This window comes from Homo sapiens, chromosome 20 (assembly GCF_000001405.40).
Source record: "Homo sapiens chromosome 20, GRCh38.p14 Primary Assembly".
NCBI classification, from domain to species: domain Eukaryota; kingdom Metazoa; phylum Chordata; class Mammalia; order Primates; family Hominidae; genus Homo; species Homo sapiens.
In genome coordinates, this window is record NC_000020.11 from 19426437 (window position 1) to 19445666 (window position 19230).

The window sequence follows — 19230 nt, forward strand, 5'->3', positions numbered from 1 at the left end:
ACTTTAGGCTTGTTTATCTTTGAATTTATTTTTTGGAAATGCAAAATGCTTACATTTCAAAAAGTCAACACTATATAAAATTGTTTATCTAGCCAGTGTCCTAGGGATAGGCACTTGGATTGTTTCCAATACTTTGCTATCACAAATAATGCTGTGGTCAGTTATTTTGATGCATGGATGTATTTTCGAGGTAAACTCCTGAAAATGAGATTGCTGCATTGAAGGGCACATGTGTGTCATTTTGTGAGATGTTGCCACATTCCACTCACTACCGGCTGTACCATTTGAGTTTGTATTGGTTCTCTTGGGGAATGGATTTGAGAGGAAATGAGGTTGGACCTAGGAGCATGGGTCAGGAGGCTACTGCGGCCATCCAGGTGGGTGATGAGGAATACCTGAACCACAACAGTGGGACTGGGGAGTGAGAGGAGGGGCCAGGCTAGAGGCTTGGCCCTTGATTGGACATGAGCAGCAAGGGCATAAAAAGAACAGAGAACAAAGGAATAAAAAGATTCCCAGGTGAATGCGTGAAGGGGAAGCAGGCAGTTTGGTGTCCACACTAGGACAGGAAATACAAGGGTGAAGAAGATATGCATGTATGTGTGTATGCCTGTGTGTGCGTGTGTGTGTGCATGTGTGTGTGTGCGTGTGTCTCTGTGTGCATGTGTATGCATATGTGTGCACACGTGTAGGTGTGTGTGCATGCACGCGCAGGAATGAATGCCATCTGAACACGTGGAGTTTGGGAAGCAGATGCCCAGGAAGCCTGGAACACCAGGTGAGGTGGGGCTGGCAGCAGTGAGACACCGGCATGAAAAAAGCAGCAAAAGCCATGATCGTGGATGAGATCAGTACACACATCATAGTGTCCCCAGACTCGGACACACAGGGAAAATGGTGCATCTGCTTTACTTTTGTCGGGTGAACAAGTGAACTCATTGCTTTAAATTTCAAGGTATTTCATCTGAAGAGGCATCTGGAGGCTGAAAAAAATATATTGAGCATATTATGTAAAAATGTAAATACTGTTTAGAAAGAAATCGATTTTATGTTTCTTGACTTTTCAAATACCATTTGCGCTTTAGTGTTCCACTGGGGGCTGGGGGAAAAGGTAGGTGGATGCAGCCTTGGCCCCAAAAATGAGGTGTGAAGACGCTCCCTGTGAAACAAGCTGCTATCGGGAACCCGGAGTCCATTCCCACTGCCGTGCCTCTGCCTATTACAGGCCCCGCCCTCCGACTTGTCCTCCTCCCAGGCCTGTCCTGGGCTGACCCAGAGAGGATAAAGATCTCTCCTGGAAAAAAGTATTTGCTGGAGGCTGGGAGGAGGGACTCCAGGCAGTGGGAACCAGTGGGACCTGTAGAGGTTGTCTGGAAAGGGGCTTTTATCTCCCGTCAGGGAACAGGCTCTTCATTTCCAGAGGATAGTTTATGTTTCGCTCTGTGTATTCATGCACAACTTTAATATCAGTGGATTAATCCACAGTTTTAGAAGCTTATCAATAATTCTGCTGTCCACACACATATAACAAAACAGCACATTTGCAGTAACACATCAGGGATCTTGCGTTGCTGTGCTCCTCATATTTGAATTACTCAGATAATTGGAAGTCCAACGTTTGGTTTGGACTTATTTCAGTGCAGTCTTTTGAAAATATGTTCTTGCCACCTTGCACTGTGTCTCGTGCACATTCCTCAGCCGTCTCTCCATGCAGTAGCAGCAGCATGAGCCCGGTCTGGTTGTGGGTATTGCAGTTGCTGTTTGTTCCCTTCACGGGTGGCCGTCAGCTTCTACTTCTGTTACCTTCTGGTTTGCCTCAACCAGCTCATTTCACACCAGTACAATTCAATCAGTGTGCTTATTGTTTGCTAGCTTAAACATTCACTGAGCTTGGACACAGCACTCAATCGACACCGTGTTAATACTGTGTGTTAAGTAGGAGTCATTAGACTCTGAGGGACTTCTCAAAAATAAATGTCTGACTGGAGTTCAGGGCACTGTCAGCAAGGGCTGCGAAATTCTAAAATGGGAACAAGGATGTGGAGGAAGTTCCACATTTGCATGTTGGTGTCTAACCACTGGTACTTGCAACAGACATTATTTTCCCCAAAATGATAAAACTGCCAGAGCCACTGAGCAAAGTAAGCTACAGTGTAATTGCTCATGTGAGTTCTCTCCTTTGAGTGGGCAGGATATGGCATGGACCATCCTTAATCCTCATCGGGGAGGCAGAAGAGAAGCAGCCCTAGATTGTAGTTCCGAGTTCTTACCCACTCCAGATTCCATCACTTCTTGGCCACGTGGTGTTGGGTACGTTGCAGCTTCCTTATCTACACCTTCCTTTTCTCTAAAATTGTAGCTATTTAACCTGCCCTGCCCAGGAGGTGGGTGTGAAGAGGCTTTATGCAAGTAATGCAGTCTACAAACATAAACTGTCTTTATCAGTATCGATATCCTTACTTGCAAGTTGGGGATATGGCAAATGTGTAATAGACAAGTTGTGAATTGTGGTTTTGTCAGCTACAGCAAGCATGGGATGCCTTCTTTCCATCTTTAGGTTCTTCCCTCCCCCTCCAGTGTTTCTGCCCAGGAATTTAAAACAGAAATATAATGCTATTTTTTAGAAATCAGAAATAATTTCCCCTCTGTACACTATTAGCAGCCAGAAACTTTCATTTCTCTGAAGGTTACTAAATGCAAAAGAGGTATGAACTGTGTTTAACAAAACAAAAGCAAGCAACTCAACTATCCTCACTGTTCACTCAACCATCCTCCACTATTCTCACCTTTACCTCTGTTATCATTGAGAAAAGAATTGATGTATTGGGTTGACCCAGAGGAGGCTGCTGATATTTGATCACTTCTGGCATGTCATTTTTGTATGCTCAACCTAATTATTTCTGAGAAAAGAGAATTACACCTTTGGTTCAGGATTATCCAGGCAGCATTGCAGCATAATGCTGAAACTCTCATTTTTATGGTGCAAAGCCTTGAAAGAAGCCTATGGAAAGCGTGTGAGTAAATGCAGAGGTAATACACGCACTATCTCTAATACTTTGTATCTACCCCTCATTCAGGAGACACTGTTCTTTCTTGAGTTAAGCTTAGCCCGGGAAGGACACATATTTATGTGGAAGACGATGAGAGTTAGACTTGAATTTACTGTGTCATTTTAATAGACTGCTTCATCTACTTGACAATGAGGTTCTTCCAGGATTATCTTCGAAGCCCTGATGATCTGCTAAATAAATAATGTTCTGGGCCGGCCGACTCTATATATGGTCATCCGAGAGGGCCATAAATCTGTGCTCCTAGGGTAGCAGGAGTTCAGTTGTCCCATTTTTATTTCTAACTGACCCATAAAAGGCATCTTCAGTGTTGCTGATTATGCTCTCCTCATTTGATTTGGAGTTATGTCACCCTAAAGCAGGGAGAATTTCCTCACAATAAATCTCTCATTTTTAATCTCGAGCTACAGTGGGAAAGCCTGTCTGCACAGCTGAGAAAAAAAGAGGAGGGCCTGGGCTGTGATTTAATAGGGTGAAGGGTGGGGAGGTAGCCACCCTAGGGGCTGCACAAAGGCATCTCTGGGGAAGCCGCTGGGAACTGAGTCCCAAGGGGGAGAGGGAAGGAAGGAGGAAGGGATTTGGTTTGATCTTTCTTCCCCAGCCCCCGACCCCACCCTAATACTATGTCTTTCTTTGAGCTAAGATTTGGCTCTTGCTGGGGTAAAGGCCACCTTTAGGGTTTGACTCCTTGGAGCCATCATCTCTGCTGGCACTGATCTTACAGACATGGCCAAAGACATCATTGTTCTTCTGTTTTCTGGGCTCACTGAAGACAGACAAGGCTTAAAGCAGAGAAGATCAATAATCAAAACAGAGTTTTCCCTTGGCTCACCGCTCAGGCAGGTGCAATCTCCAGCCCGACCAAGGGTCTTGATGCCAAAAGAAAGAAAATAAAGGAAGGAGGGAAGTTGGGTGAGGAAGAGAAAAAATAGGGAGGGAGGAAAAGGAGGGAAAGGACCAGGGAGGGAAGGAGAGCAAGGGGGAAGGAAAGGCCATTCTCCCAGTTTATTTATGTGGAATTTAAAAACAGAACGTGGACTATAGGATTTCTGTAGTCTTCAGGGAGAGTGCTAATGGGGAAAATAGTGCATAGAAATGCAGCTGATCCACACTAGCAGCCCTTCTCCCTTGAGATGCTCCTGCTGCAGCCTGTGACCACATACTCACACACACATACACATTTGTATATGTGCACACTCAGTCAAATTCACACATGCATACAGGCCCATGCACAAGCACAGCTAGGTAGACTCACACACTTGCATGCATGCACACACACACACACAGGCACTTGCACTCATGGACACACATGCACGTGCACACACATGCAGGTACACACTCACCTAGGGACACATGCACACACATACGCAGACACGGTCACACCCTACTCCATCCTGCCTGTTTTGAATTTTGGCCTTTGAAGTTGTTGATGACTTTGATCAGCGGTGGAGTCTGCACAAGGTCATGTCCTCCATCCTCTGCCTGCCCTCAGGACCCCAGCACAGACAGGTATCTCTGCTGGGGGCAAAAGGAGCACCTAGGCTTTGGGGTCAGGGCAGTAGAGCAGCTTTTATGCACCCTGGGAAGATGCTAACTGGCTGGTTGGCCAATGGGAAGGGAGTGTTGATGAGCACTACAGTGAGGACTCTGGTTCTGCCCTCAACCCAGCCCCATGTGACATCCCAAGGTCATCCCTAGGGGAAGCCTGGGTCCTCCGAGAAACAGATGCCAAGACAGAATGAAGGATGCAAGGGTTTTATAAGAGAAATGCCTATAAAGAGGGCAAGGGAGCTGGGGGAGGGTTGGGAGGGGCAGTGGACCCCTGCACCTTCTGACCCAAGTGAAGGAGGGAGAGAGGGAAGCAAGGTTGTGTGAAAGCATCCACGTGTGGATGGCTGTGCAGTACAGACAAGGTTCAGCAAGACCAGCAGAGCATCACTGAGTCCTTGGTGTTCCTGCTGTGCTCAGTCACAGGCTGGGAGCAGCCGCTCCATGGGGCCGTGGGTCTCAGTCACCCTTTGGTCAGTGGTGAGGTGCCTGTCGCCAGCCAGATAAGCACCCAGAGCCTCCCCTCCCAGCTGCCTTCCAAACTACTACTGAGCAATTGGAGGAGGTAGATTGAAAACTCAGCCTGGAGTCAGAAGCAGTAGCCCCAGTCAACTTCATACTGAGTTGAAACAGAAAATCAACAATTCACTCAAGAAATAGATTCACTTCAAAAAAAAAAAGGTAAATTCATTCAAATAATAACTTGTTAACAAGGTGTTTTCTCTGTCTGAATTTGAGGAGTTCTCTCTCCATATCCAACTGGGCAACACAGAGGCATGGCTGTTATCAGCACCGAGAAATGTCAGGGTTTTAAGCTGCCACAGAGAACATTTAGCTTGAAAATAAGAAAGACTTTCTGGATGGTGAGGGGAGCTTTAAACATTGCAAAGGGTTATAGAATTATTTTGTTTTAGAATTCTTAAAAATCAGGTTTAAATCTTACCGTTTTAAGGTAAGTTGAGTGACTCAGGGGGAAGATGCTTTGAAGTCCTAGCTTTGCAAACTACCTGAATTCTCTCAGCATCTGGTTGAGGTCATCAAAGGCACCACTGAGGTGACAGCAGGGAGAGGTCTTTGCTTTGAGGCTGACAAAATATGCAGCATGTCAATGCAAACATAGTGCTTAGCAAAAGCCAACCCCCAATGCGGGTATCCTAGAGGAGCAGATAGTTGGCTACTATCATTTTTACAGAATCAAACAGATTTATATATATCTGTTTTATATATATATATATATATAAGATTATATATATATAATCTTAATAATCATCCTAATAAACAATTTTCAGAGTCAAAATTTAAAAAGTTGAATCAATCAAAGAAGACAAGAAAAAATGCCTGATTAATTTGAAAGTATTAGATTGCTTTTTCTGTGACCATCTTTCAGTTCACCTATTGAACTTTCTCTCATTGTTCACAATAATTCACCTAAAGGCAGATGACCCCATGGAGAATTCCAAGCTGACGTCTACCACTCTCTGCCTATCTAAAGCCCCAAGACATTCATAAGTGGAAAAAACAAAAAAAGCAACAAAAGTCAGCAGCTAAAGAAAGTCTTCAGTCAGAAGCTTGGGGTCTCTCTTGTCACCTGGGTGAGAGTCAGGTAATATTGCACTGCGGAGACTGGCTCAGCTGTGTTGCCTCAGCTAATAAGGGGAATGCTTTGCTTGCTCTTTATAGCCAGATGTATTATTAAGCACAGGTTTACAGAAGCATCTTAAAACACTGACTTAGTGCTGTAAACTGTGAAAAGTAGAAATTCATGTGAATGCTTCAAGTTTTTTTGATGAACTTTCAGTGGATGATGGTGGTTGTAACTGTCTGCTTTTTATTTTTGCCTAGTGTTCCATTATTGGAACATAAGCATGTGACAGTTATTTATATCCTATTGCTCAAGGTCATCGCCAAGGTCTGATTGCAAAAGTTCAAAAAATTGCAACCTCGGGCATAAATGGGTTCAATAACATTAGAAGGACTATATTTCATTATTCAGGTAGTTCCAGTTAAGATATAGATATTTTATCTTGTGCAAATAGCTCTCTCTCTAGGAAGTTCTCCTCACTCAGGATTTAATGGAACATGCCCTTTCTCCGCAATGTATCATCCAAGGCATTTCAGGTTATATGTGGGGCAGTATCACCCTGTTACTTATTAATAGACTAATGATAGATGACCAAATCCTCGTACATAAAACATTTATATTTTATTTCTGGAGTTTGGGGATTGAAACTGGGTCAAATCACAGAGAGCTCTTACACAAACTAATGAGCTTACAAAATCCAGATCCTCAGAAATCATGCAGTGGTTTTAATGAATGTTCCGCAGGGAAAACGCACCAAGATTTGTTGTTTGAATGAGGCAGTGACTAAACTCAGGTCACCTTAGGTAAGTTTTCTCCAAGATGCAGAGTATTAAACTTGCATCTGCATCTCTTTGATTGTTTTGCTTCCTTTTTAAATCACAGTGGTTGGTTTTTCTCTTTGAAAAGCAAGATAAGGATGAGGACACCAAAATTCTTCTGCTGCCTTGTGGTAGGCCCTGGAATTTGGTAAGAGTGACTCAGTAGAGACTCTCACTTTGAAAAAATATAAAGTATTAATAGAAAATGTAAAGTATGGTAAGACCAACAAATTAGGAGACAACTGCCACTGAAAAAATAGTGCGTAGCAATAGCAAGCAATTTCAAAAGGTGAGTCCATAGCGCCAAGGGGAAGTAGGACTGATTACCGTCTCATCTTAATGTCTCTCTAGGCCCCATGGTTTAAAAGGACTCACATTCTTCACATAAAGGTTCTTTTCTTTTCTCACTAGGTTTTTGACACCTGGCCCTGGGGTGACCTGAACAGTGGATAGTGGTCCCAAAGTGGGGAGTGAGAGTCTAATAAAGGAGATGGTTGGGTGTGAGCTCTGGATTGATTGGTTTGTATTTGAAAAGCACAGTCTTGGGTATGTTGCTCCCTATCTCTAGGAGCTGGTTAACCCTGGGAGGGGCAGTCCCTCAGGGTCAGCAAGATGCAGTATCAGAGCATTGAAATACAGGAAATGAAAGACGTGATTAATACACATCACTGAGCTGAAATGTCAGTGGTTTACCGAACAAGATAAGTAAAGATTTAGGACTACATTTGTGCTCACAGAAACCCCCATATATGGGAAATTTTCATGGGCAGTAAAACCAAGGAACCGCTGAACTGTATTCTCCCATGGAATTTCCTAAACCTGGCATCCATCAGCCCCTTTTGATCACTCCGCAGCGAGGGCTTGGGAAAGCTCTCTAGAGAGAAGCAGGCAGCTGAACAAGGTGCGAGAGAAAAGGAGCATCACCTTGAGTCTGAGCACATGGTGGGAACAAATGAGAAAACGTTCTTCAGGTGACCTCAGCTCAAGAAAGTGGACACTGCAGGAAGAACATTTCAATTCTGGAAAAAACAGAAAACTTTATAGAACCCTGGTCTGCACTGTTAGCATTGGTGCATTGGTGACAAATGATTTTTTTTTCTTTTGGAGAATTTGTCATTTTTGCTCAGAAAGAAACAAATAATACCTACAGTGAGGCATGCTATCTACCATTCTCTTTTTTTCTCTACATCCCTCTAATAGGCAGCACAGCTGCCTCTGGATGGTTATTTGTTCTTGGCTAATTACAAAGTAAAGGGATTTTACAGTCTTACAGATGGGAACTTAGAGATAGGATGCTTTTTTTTTTTTTCTGGAAAGAAATGGAGCTCATTTAATGCCTAATTAGGGAGAGTCACATGTGCAGGGTAAGGGGAATGGTGACTGCTAACCTGAAGGGAAGGAACTCTTTCCTTCTTGCTGGCATCATACAGGGATTCTGTCTCTTACTTTTGTAAGCCACTTAACAATTGACAGTTATCTTGGCAACAGCCAAGATATTCAAAATTTCAAAAAATTCAAAAAATTCAAAAAAGGCTATCTTTCCTTAGTCTTCCCCGTAGCTTGAGGTGCTCTGCATATCTTTGGACAGATACTTGTTGATCAACTGATCCAATTACTCCAGCTTTGGATTTTGCCAAAATTATTTACAAATGCTGCCCTCTCTATTTTGAGACAATGCACAATGGAGAGAGAACAGGCTTCCAAGTAAGGCAAGGCCAGGTTTAAATCCTGGCAGAGCCAATTACCAGCTGCAGAAAGTTGGGAAACTTAACTCCCCAGAACTTGAATTTTCTCCTCTGTAAAATGAGCATAACAGCACCTACTCCATCACTTCACTGACATGATTAAGTGGTACTGCCCATGCAAGAACCTGCCATCTTACAGACTTATCTTCAGTATATGTTTTACATTTCTACACCAAACAACATAGAAAAGGATTTTAGTAAAAAAGACATTCGTTGTCACCACTTATAGTCTATACCATAGCATTAAGTACAATTTCAAGGAGAAATGTTTTGGAAGGAGATTCATCTGCCCACTAAAATGTTAGGAATCCAGAATGATCTACTTGGCTAGATGATGTGCTCACAGTTCAGTACTGGACAGTTAGGGGTATCCCAGGGCAATTAGTATGTGCTTAAAGTACTCACGGTCACCTTTGGAGCTTTTTCCCCAGGCAAAGAGTGACCCAGCTGGAGTGCCCACCCCTGACAAGCACTGACCTGTAGACTCAGAATCCAAAGGTGACTGTAGTTTTCTCGTCTGTCTAGTGAGAGTCTGTGATAGCTTTCCTTATCTTTAAAGTCTCTTCCAGTTGGAACAGTCCTATAACAGCTCATGGTTATAGGAGAAACATAGAACAGAGAAAAGTCTGCCCTGCTGACTTGCCTACACCTCACATTGTAGTAGATGCCCAAACTGGTTCCAAGAATGAATGATATAATGATGCAGACATTCATTTTCTTGTCTCTTGGGTCTGCAGCTTAATCACCTGAAATTCTCTGTACCAAGTGACCTGCTGGCATGTCCTTCCTACAAGTGCTGACTTGTGCTTGGCAAGGAGACTGGTTTAAGATCTTCCTCAGTTCAAATGCAAATAGTGGAGATAATAATAGCTAACAGTTGTTGAGTATTTACCATGTGTCAGATAGTTTCCAGAACTTGGCACATGTCAGTTGATTCAGTCCTTACACCCTGAGGTAAGGATCACTGTTTTCATATCCTATACTAATATAATAGTACTTATGTTTTCCTAGTTGCACTGAGCCACTAATGGAACTTCTAATTGACCCGTCCTTTTTCAACGGTTGGGAATACTCTCCTCTGACTTCCTTTAAAAAAGCCATGTAAAAGGACCCAAGTAGAATTTCAGCTCATGATCTTGGCCTTATTTAGCATGACGCTCAGATTTATGTCTCTTGGACTTCACAGATGGATGTGAGAAAGAACTCCTGCTCTACCTGCTGAAAAGGTTCAGTATGCTCATGTAGATTTACTGACCCCAGTACTTTCAGGGGCTTCTCCAGGGGATATCTTCCCCACCTCAACCCTAGTTTCTGGCTGGATGCTCCCAGGAGCTTTGTGGCTGATAGACAGCACTAGAGCAAAGGAGCCCAGGAGGTCTTCTGGCTGCCTCTCTCATCATATCAGTCTTACTCTCTTTTACTCTTTTCTTGGTGTGTATTCATGTATCTGCTTTCACAGGCAGCCGGGTCCAGGGTCACCACTACACCTGGACCCAATCTTTACATCTCAGCTTCTAGGGATAATGGGACTCTCTCCCCATCTCTACTTGGGAAAACCCCAAAGAAGGGCTCTGATTGGTTACAGCTGGCACCTGTGCCCTTCCCTGGACCAATCACAATGGCTAAGAAACTGAGGGACCATTTTTGGTTCAGCACAGGCCATGTCTCCACTTTTGATCAATTTCTGCAGCCAGGGGATTGGGGTCACATCAGAGGATAGCAGCCCCCATTGATGAGAAAGCTAGAAGGGCAGTGGGGGCTAGGTGTACCCACGAAAAGAGAGATCAAGTTCCAAAAGACAGAACGGATAAATGAGTGAACAGAATAACATGGTGAGACATGTAAATGTTGGTGAGTAAATGTTGGAGGAGCAGTGAAATGGCCTTGTGGGGACATCAAAAGCAAATGGACTGTGTCAATGTAGGGGGGAGAGAGGATACATAAGAGGAAAGACATGAGAGTCGGTGATATGGTTTGGCTCTGTATCCCCACCCAAGTCTCACTTTGAATTGTAATTCCCATAATCCCCAAGTGTCAAGGGCAGGACCAGGTGGAGGTAATTGAATCATGGGGGCAGTTTTCCCCATGCTGTTCTCATGATAATGAGTGAGTCTCACAAGATCTGATGGTTTTATAAGCACCTGGCATTTGCCCTGCTGTCACTCATTCTCTCTCCCGATTCCCTGTGAAGTGGTGTCTTCCACCATGATTGTAGTTTTCTCAGGCCTCCCCAGCCATGCGGAACTGTGAGTCAATGAAACCTCTTTTATAAATTACCCAGTCCTGCGTATTTCCTTATAGCAATGTGAAAATGGACTAATACAGTCAGAATTAGTAGAAGTGAGAAGACAGAGCAAGAAGTGCTGGGGCCAACATCATGCCCTCAAGAATCCCATGAGGAGGTGGGAAGAAGGCTGAGGCTTATCCAGGCCAATTGACCCAAACGGCCAGGACAGGATAATGCTAGTGAGCATCTGGGTTTCCACAGCCTGGCCCTGCCCTGCAGTTCTCTATAGCAAACCCACGTGCCTGAGGGGAGATGGTTTTCAAGACAGCTGCTAGGGGTGCCAGGGAGCTCCTGTGCTCCTCAAGTGCGTTCTGATCCTGTCTCCATCCTCCTCCACCCTGTTCCCCCTGCTCTTTGGGGCATGGTGGTTGGTCATGCTTCCCTCTCCCAGCATAATTCCAGAAAATTCCCCACCACCATTTTGCCACAAGCTGGTGAAGGGACATTAATGAGGTCGTTATAGGGCCTGCTGCATTTTCGGAACAGAACTCTGCACATGAGTCTAACTGCCAAGTGAGCTGATGGAGAACACCATGGCTTTCCCTGAAAGGCTCTGGCATTAGTGCCCAAACACTCTCACTTCCTCAAGGTCCCCTGTGTTTTTGAACCCAGGGCCCCTGTGTTTTTGAAAATGTGAAATGATAAGTGAGAAAATGAAGTGAATCAAGTTTTGTGGGTCCTTGGTGTCTGGGCATCAGGCGCTCAGCTGTGAAAGGAAAATGCTGGTCTTTGAGCACACAAAAGTCATCTGACAGAGTTAGAAAGAAGGGGCTTTTCACCACTTCAGGGCAGTAAATTGAACTTTGAAAAGGGCACCTTTCCTTCTGGGAGGACTGATTTGTACAGCCGTTATTTCTGAGTGATATAAAGATGGTCTTAGAGATCTTCAATGTCCGGCTCCTGGCCCATCACCTGCTTAGGGGGTGGTAGGTAGTGTAGACAGCAAACTGCTTGCTGGCCTCTATACAGGACATCCCTACATGGTAGGTAGTGTGGACAGCAAGCTGCTCATTGGCCTCTGCACCCGACACCCCCATACAGTAGGTAGTGTAGACACCAAGCAACTCATTGGTCTCTGCACCTAGCACCCCTACATGGTAGGCAGTGTGAACAACAAGCTGCTCATTGGCCTCCCCACCTGGCATTCCCACATGGTAGGTAGTGTAGACACCAAGCCACTCATTGGCCTCTGCACCCAGCATCCCCACAGGGTAGGTAGTGTGGACAGCAATCTGCTCATTGGCCTCTGCACCTGGCACCCTGACATGGCAGGTAGTATAGACACTAAGCCACTCATTGGTCTCTGCCCCTGGCACCCTCACAGGGTAGGTAGTGTAGATAGTAAGCTGCTCGTTGGCCTCTGCACCTGGCATCCCCACAGGGTAGGCAATATAGACAGCAAGCTGCTTTTGACCTCTGCATCCTCCCTCTCCAGTCCTCAACTTGTGACTGCCTGAGGCACTGTAAATCATGCCCAGAGTCAAGCGCATGGTGAGACAAGTGCATACCCGGGGGAAGAAGCCTTTGGCTGTGGCTTTCTGGGATGCAGAGTGGCCTCCCAGGAAATAAGGCTGATTGCCTCCAGGTTGGCACCCCACATCCCATACAGATGTTCCCATTCCACTGCTGTGCTTGTCTCCACTGCCACATCTTCCTTGCCCCTCCACCAGCCTGCTGCCCCCTTAGCACTCTGTGACAGCTGTCCTGTTGGTGACCCCAGACCCACATTCAGTGGAGCATGGGATGCTGCTGGGCAGCCATCCCAGGTCTGGGGATCAGGCCTCCCTCATCTTGAGAAACGTTCCTTTACTTTCAAAACTTTGTAGGAACATGGCACCAAATTTTCGTCTTTGTATTTTTGCTTGGTTTAAAAAATTTTTTTCTTCTGTGGAAAATGAACACACATGTAAACAAAAATTATATATTGGGACATAAGCCTGCCCTTCCTCGCCAAAAAACAAAACAAAACCACAGATAGATTTGGCTGTTCCTGTCTCAGAAGTATATTTGTGAAACACTTGTGAATGATTTATATCCCATGTAACTCCATACAAATTTTGTTAGCACATGTGAGTAACTTCTTAGCACCCCACCAAAATGATTACTAATAATAGCCTGATTCACCAAAAACAAACCAAAACTTATTTCCTTCCAAGCAAGAGTCTTCCAGATCTCTTGCTTTCTTCCTTTACATTTATCCATCAATTATGTCTGTATAAAGTCAGAACAACTGATGGTTTGGATCTGTGTAGTGGGCAAGTTCAGAGGTCTCTGAATGGAAAATAATGGAATGCCTCGCTGATCCGAGTGATTGATTTGGCAATAACACGGTCTCTCCGTGTAGACGTTGTTAACTCTTGCTGAGGGTAAGAAGGGGAGAGAGAGGTTGAATTCGGTCTTAAACTGAGGAAGCTGTTGGCTTTGCATGTGGCCAGCTTTGGGTGGGAGGGGGATGTTAGTGGCTGGGTTTCTGACGGGATGTTGGGGTTTTAGTTCAATACAAGAAATACATATTCCTATGGATTTATTATATTTCACTTTTTCAAATATGGGAAACAAAATCAAAGTTAACCTTAACAATTTGTCTTTGCTGAAACACAGTGATGTGAGAATCCTCAAGCACTGAAAACAGACATCGTTCTAGAATTTGCATTTTCTTATCTGGGTGAATTTAACTTATTTCGAAGCTCAGAGATATCCAATGTAAATTTAAGAGCAGCACCACAGCCTGTACTTCACTTTGATCATGCTAGTCCTATCTGACCGTGCATCCACTCACCTTATCTGTCAAACACCTAGTTGTCAAGTTAGGCGCTCTGTGGTGTTCAGGTAGGAAGGTTCTATCTGTAATCTCAGAAGGAGCTGGCAAGACAGCTGGGGAGAGAGAATGGGACAAGTGTCCAGAGATCTCTTTTGTCTCTGACTGTAGTAAGTGCCTTAAAAGTTGAATGCTGCAGAGATATGCAGAAAAGTAATACCCCAGCCCCTACGGTGTTTCCTAGCAAGGGACAAACTACCTTTGACCTATATACCTGGCTTCCAAACCATGAGGTAAGAGAGAGAGGGTGCCGACAACGAACATTTCCTTACTTTTCTAAACCAGAAGAGATTTCATTACTTGGAAAAATCTAGAAACAGTTCCTGGAGGAGAGGCCTCACTGTTTTTTTTTTTTTTTTTTTTTTAAGAATGAATTTATTTAGTAGAATGAATGAATTTAGTAGAATTTCAGCTACTAGAGGTAAGTCCAGCTCCAAGGAAGTGTGTCAGCAGAGGAAGAAGAACGATGAGAGTGTCCAGGGTTCTGCCAGGCATCTGGAGGGATGGATGGAAGATGAACTTAAGGGCTCGGGTGGAGGGCCCTGGGTGAGGGCTCAGCACTGGGCCGACAGCAGCCTCAGGGTGCATTTGGATACCGACGGACTGTTTTTTCATCACATATGAGTGACAGGGGAGTTTAGATGGATGGGTTAAAAGCAAAGCCATGTATTCTCTGAGTGGGAAGCAGGCCGGATCCTGAGAGTTCGTAATCATTGAGATTTCACATCGCATACCTGCAGCCATGTTTCAGACAAGATTGTGCACCCACTCCTGGGTGAGGCAGCTTTTGAAACCAAGCTGGAAGCCTTTAGCCTTCCTGCTGTCTCACCAAGCTAAGGATGGGCTGACCTCTGTATGGGACCTTCCCTTCCTTGCACCGTGGAAGCCCATTTCTAATTCACATTCTGACACTGACAAACTCGGTGACCTTGGTTACGTTATCTCATCTTCTTGGACCCCGGCATCCCACCTAGGGGCCGGAAGTAATGACGGTTGACACCTCATAGCCACACACAGGGCTAGCACAGACTGCTCCAGACTTGCTAGGTGAGGGCCCTGTGCATCTGAAAGCAAAGGAAGGAAGTGTGGTTAGGACTGCAGTTAGCATGGACTCAATGCACAGTCCCCACTCTGCTAATCAGATCATCACTTCTTAGACCTCCAGGGAACAGAAATATATTTAATGTTTATTTGAGATACTTTAAGTTAATAGACTTTATTTTTAAGAGTAGTTTTAGAGTTACAGAAAAGTGAGTGGAAAGTATGAAAAGTCCCCATATCCCCATCACTTACCCATCTACCCCCGTTTTCCCTGTTAACATCTTATATTAGTGTGGTACATTTATTACGATTGATGAACAAATAATGATGCATTATTATTAACTCAACTTTATAGTTCATATTAGGGTTTATTCTTGGTGTATAGTTCTGTGGGGTTTGCCAAATGCATAATGTCCTGTATCCATCATTACTGTATCCTACAAAATTGTTTAATTGCCCTAAAAATCCTCAGTGCTCTGCTAATCCATCCCTCCCTCTCACTGACCCCTGGAAACCACTGATTTTTTTTCTGTCTCTGATAAAAATCATAAAACCACTGATTTTTTTTATGTGACATTTCTTCCAGAATGTCACATAGTTGACATTATACAGTATGCAGCTTTTCAGATTGGCTTCTTTGACTTAGTAATATGTGTTTAAAGCTCCTCTATATCATTTTGAGGCTTGATAGCGCATTTCTTTTCATTGCTGAATAATATTCCATTGTCTGAATGTACCACAATTTGTTTATTCATTCACCTACTGAAGAACATCTTGGTTTCTTCCAAGTTTTGGCAATTAAGAATAAGGCTGCTATGAATATTTATGTGTAGGCTGTTGTGTGGATATAAGTTTTCAGCTCATTTAGGTAAATATCAAGGAACACAATTGCCTGATCAATCATATGGTAAAAGTATGCCTAGTTTTGTAATAATCTGCTAAGCTATCTTCCAATATGGCTGTACCATTTTTCATTCCCACCAGTAATGAATAAAAGTTTCTGTTACCCCACATCTTCACCAGCATTTGGTGGTGTCAGTCTTTTGGATTTTGGCCACTCTAATAGGTGCATAGTTGTATCTCATTGTTCTTCTAATTTGTATTTTCCTAATGACATATGATTTGGAATCTTTTCGTATGCTCATTTGTCATCTGTACATCTTCTTTGTCAGAGTGTCTGTTCAGATCTTTTGCTCACTTTTTAATTGGGTTGTTTGCGTATTGTTGAATTTAAAGAATTATTTGTGTAGATTGCTTACTAGTTCTTTATCAAATATCTGTTTTGCAAATATATTCACCCAGTCTGTGGCTTGTCTTTTCACTCTCTGAGCAGTGTCTTTCACAAAACAGTTAATTTAATGAAGTTCAATTTATCTATTTTTTATTTCTTTTATTTTGTATGTTGCATCTGAAAAATCATCACCAAACCCAAGGTCACCTATATTTTCTCTTATGTTATCTTCCAGAGGTTTTACAGTTTTGCATTTTACTTTTGGTCTATGATCCATTTTGAGTTAATTTTTGGGAAAGGTGTAATGTCAGCATCTATGTTCATTTTCTTTTGCATATGGATCTAACTTTCCCAGCACCATTTATTAAATACTGTCTTTTCTCTATTGCATTGCCTTTGATACCTTGTCAGAGATCAATTGACTATGTTTGCATGGGTCTATTTCTAAGCTTTCTATTGTGTTCCATTAGTCTGTCTTTGCTTTCAGAAATATCACATTATCTTGATTACCATAGCCTTGTAAGAGATGAAGTCAGGTAGTTTTAGTCCTCTGACTTATTTTTCTCCAATAGTGTGTTGGCTCTTCTGGGTCTTTTGCCTTACTGTATAAACTCTGGAATCAGCTTGTTCATATCCACAAAATTACTTGCTATGATATTGATTTTAGATTGCATTGAACCCATAGAGCAAGTCAGGAAAAACTGATATCCTAACAATATTGAGTCTTGCTATCCATTAACATGGAATGTCTCTCCTTTTTTTAGTTCTTTTTTATTTCTTTTATCAGAGTTTTATATTTTTATACAGATCTTATACATAGTTTATTAGATTTATACTTAATTTTTTGTTATTTGGTGCTAATATAAATGGTATTATGATTTTACTTTCATATTTCAATCACTCATTGCTGGTAGTAGGAAAGCAATTGACTTTTGTAAATTAACCTTGTATCCTACAACCTTGCTGTAATTACTTTCAGGAGTTTGTTGTTGTTGTTGTTGATTCTTTGGAATTTTCTACATAGACAATTCTGAAACCTGTAAGAGGACAGTTTCATTTCTTCTTCTCCAATCTCCATGCCTTTCATTTATTTTTCTTGTCCTATTACATTGGATAGGACTTTTATTATGATGTTGAATAGGAGTAGTGAGAGGAAACATCATTGCCTTACTCCTGCTGATCTTAGGGGAATAATACCTGGTTTCTCACCTTTACTTTTACTGTTAAACCCTCCCCATAACTGGGGAGTGCTCTACCCATAATTGCCTTGGCATCCACTCTTCCTTGTTTAAGGCTTTTCTCTAGCCATGGATAAGGCCCAGCCCATAATGTGGAGAAAGACAGGAGTGCTTGAGAGTTAATAAAGTATCTTGTTTCTTACCATTAATGTTACCGTAGGCTTTTGATAGGTGTTTTCTGCCAGGTTCCCCTCTATCCTTAGTTTCCTGAGAGTTTTTTAAAATCATAAATTAGTGTTAGATTTTGTTAAATGCTTTTTCTGCATCTATTGATAAGTTTATATGATTTTTCTTCTTTACCCTATGGATGTGATTAATTACATTAATTGATTTCAAATATCAATCCCACCTTGCATAACTAGAACAAATATCACCTGGTCATGGCGTATAATTTTTATATACCTCATTGGATTTGATTTGCTGATATTTTGTTGAGGATTTTTTTGCATCTATGTTCATGAGACATATTAGTCTGTAGTTTTCCTTTCATGTAATTTATCTGGTTTGGTACTGGAGTAATGTTGGCCTTAGAGAATGGGTTAGGAAGTATTCCCGCTGCTTCATCTTCTGGAAGACATTGTACAGAATTGATGTAATTTCTTCCTTAAAGGCTTGGTATAATTTACTAGTGAACTCATCTGGGCCTGGTTTTCTTTTAGTAAATTATTAATTGCTAATTAAATTTATTTAATGATGTAGGCTTATTCAGGTTATATATTTCTCCTTATTTGAATTTGGTAGACTTTGTCTTTCAAAGAATTGGCCCATATCATCTAGGTTATCAAATTTCTGGGTATAGGTTGTCATAATAGTCCTTTATTAACCTTTCAATGTCAATGCAATAAGTAGTGATGGTCCCACTTTCATTTCTGATGTTAGTAATTTGTGTCTTCTTTTATTTTTCTTTTTACCTGGCTTGATCAATTTTATTGTCCTTTTAAAAGAACTATCTTTTTGTTTTGCTGATTTTATCTATTTTTTTAACCTTTTTAGTTTCATTGATTTCTGCTCTAATTTTTATTTTTTTTCTTCTGCTTACTTTGGATCTAATCGGCTTTTTGTTGTTGTTGTTGTTGTTGTTGTTGTTTTTACTTTCCTAAAGTAGATGCTTAGGTTATTGATTTTGGATCTCTTTTTTTCTGATACGTGCATTCACTGTAAGCACTATTTTCTGTGTCTCACACGTTTTGATACATTTAACTTTTATTTTTATTTTATTTGAGAAAGTTTTAAAAATACAAAGATAACACACTCTGTATAACCACCAACCAGAACTGACCTTTTTCATGACCTTATATCTGCTTCATCTCTTTATAGTAAAATCCAGTACAGCGTTACACATAATATGGATCTTGGCTTCCACCATCATTAGTCTGCATCATTCCTCACCCCTTATTTCTAAATATAACCACTGGCTTGAAGTTAGTGTGTTCTTTTCAACCCAATTACTTCTACTGATTTGGGTTACAACCTTAATTACTCCTACATCAACAATGTGGACCTCAGGAAGCTGGAAAGGATAGCAGTATAATAAAAGATAGTAGCAGCAGAATTCATAGATATCTGGGCCAGAATGCATGGATTTGTATTTATGCACAATGCATCTGTCTTAGTTTGAAGTTTCTTAGAAGCAGACTCAGGGTCAGTTATTTAAGGCAAATAGTTTATTTGGCAGTGCAGAACAGGGAATTGGAATGTAAGACGAGGAAGGGAAGAACTCTGAGAAAAAGTACATTATCAAGAAAGTTATCACTTTGGACAACTGGAGCTTAATCCGTCTTGAAACTCTGGGAGGCAGCGTAGAGCACACATGGGGAAGTGGGATATTCATCCGCAACACCCATCAGCCATTAG

At 42.3% G+C, this 19230-nt stretch overlaps 1 protein-coding gene across 1 annotated transcript in view, besides 2 other annotated features; it reads left to right on the forward strand.

Annotated features, from left to right (window-relative positions):
- Positions 1–19230, forward strand: part of SLC24A3 (solute carrier family 24 member 3) — a 510285-nt gene that overhangs the window by 213795 nt on the left and 277260 nt on the right. The gene's annotated exons all lie outside the window — the stretch shown is intronic.
- Positions 7496–7555: an enhancer, noted in NCBI's record as "active region_17599". NCBI's record gives its function as "activates an Ori minimal core promoter by ATAC-STARR-seq in GM12878 lymphoblastoid cells {active_cell/tissue: GM12878}" and the evidence as "EXISTENCE:reporter gene assay evidence [ECO:0000049][PMID:35858748]".
- Positions 7716–7775: an enhancer, noted in NCBI's record as "active region_17600". NCBI's record gives its function as "activates an Ori minimal core promoter by ATAC-STARR-seq in GM12878 lymphoblastoid cells {active_cell/tissue: GM12878}" and the evidence as "EXISTENCE:reporter gene assay evidence [ECO:0000049][PMID:35858748]".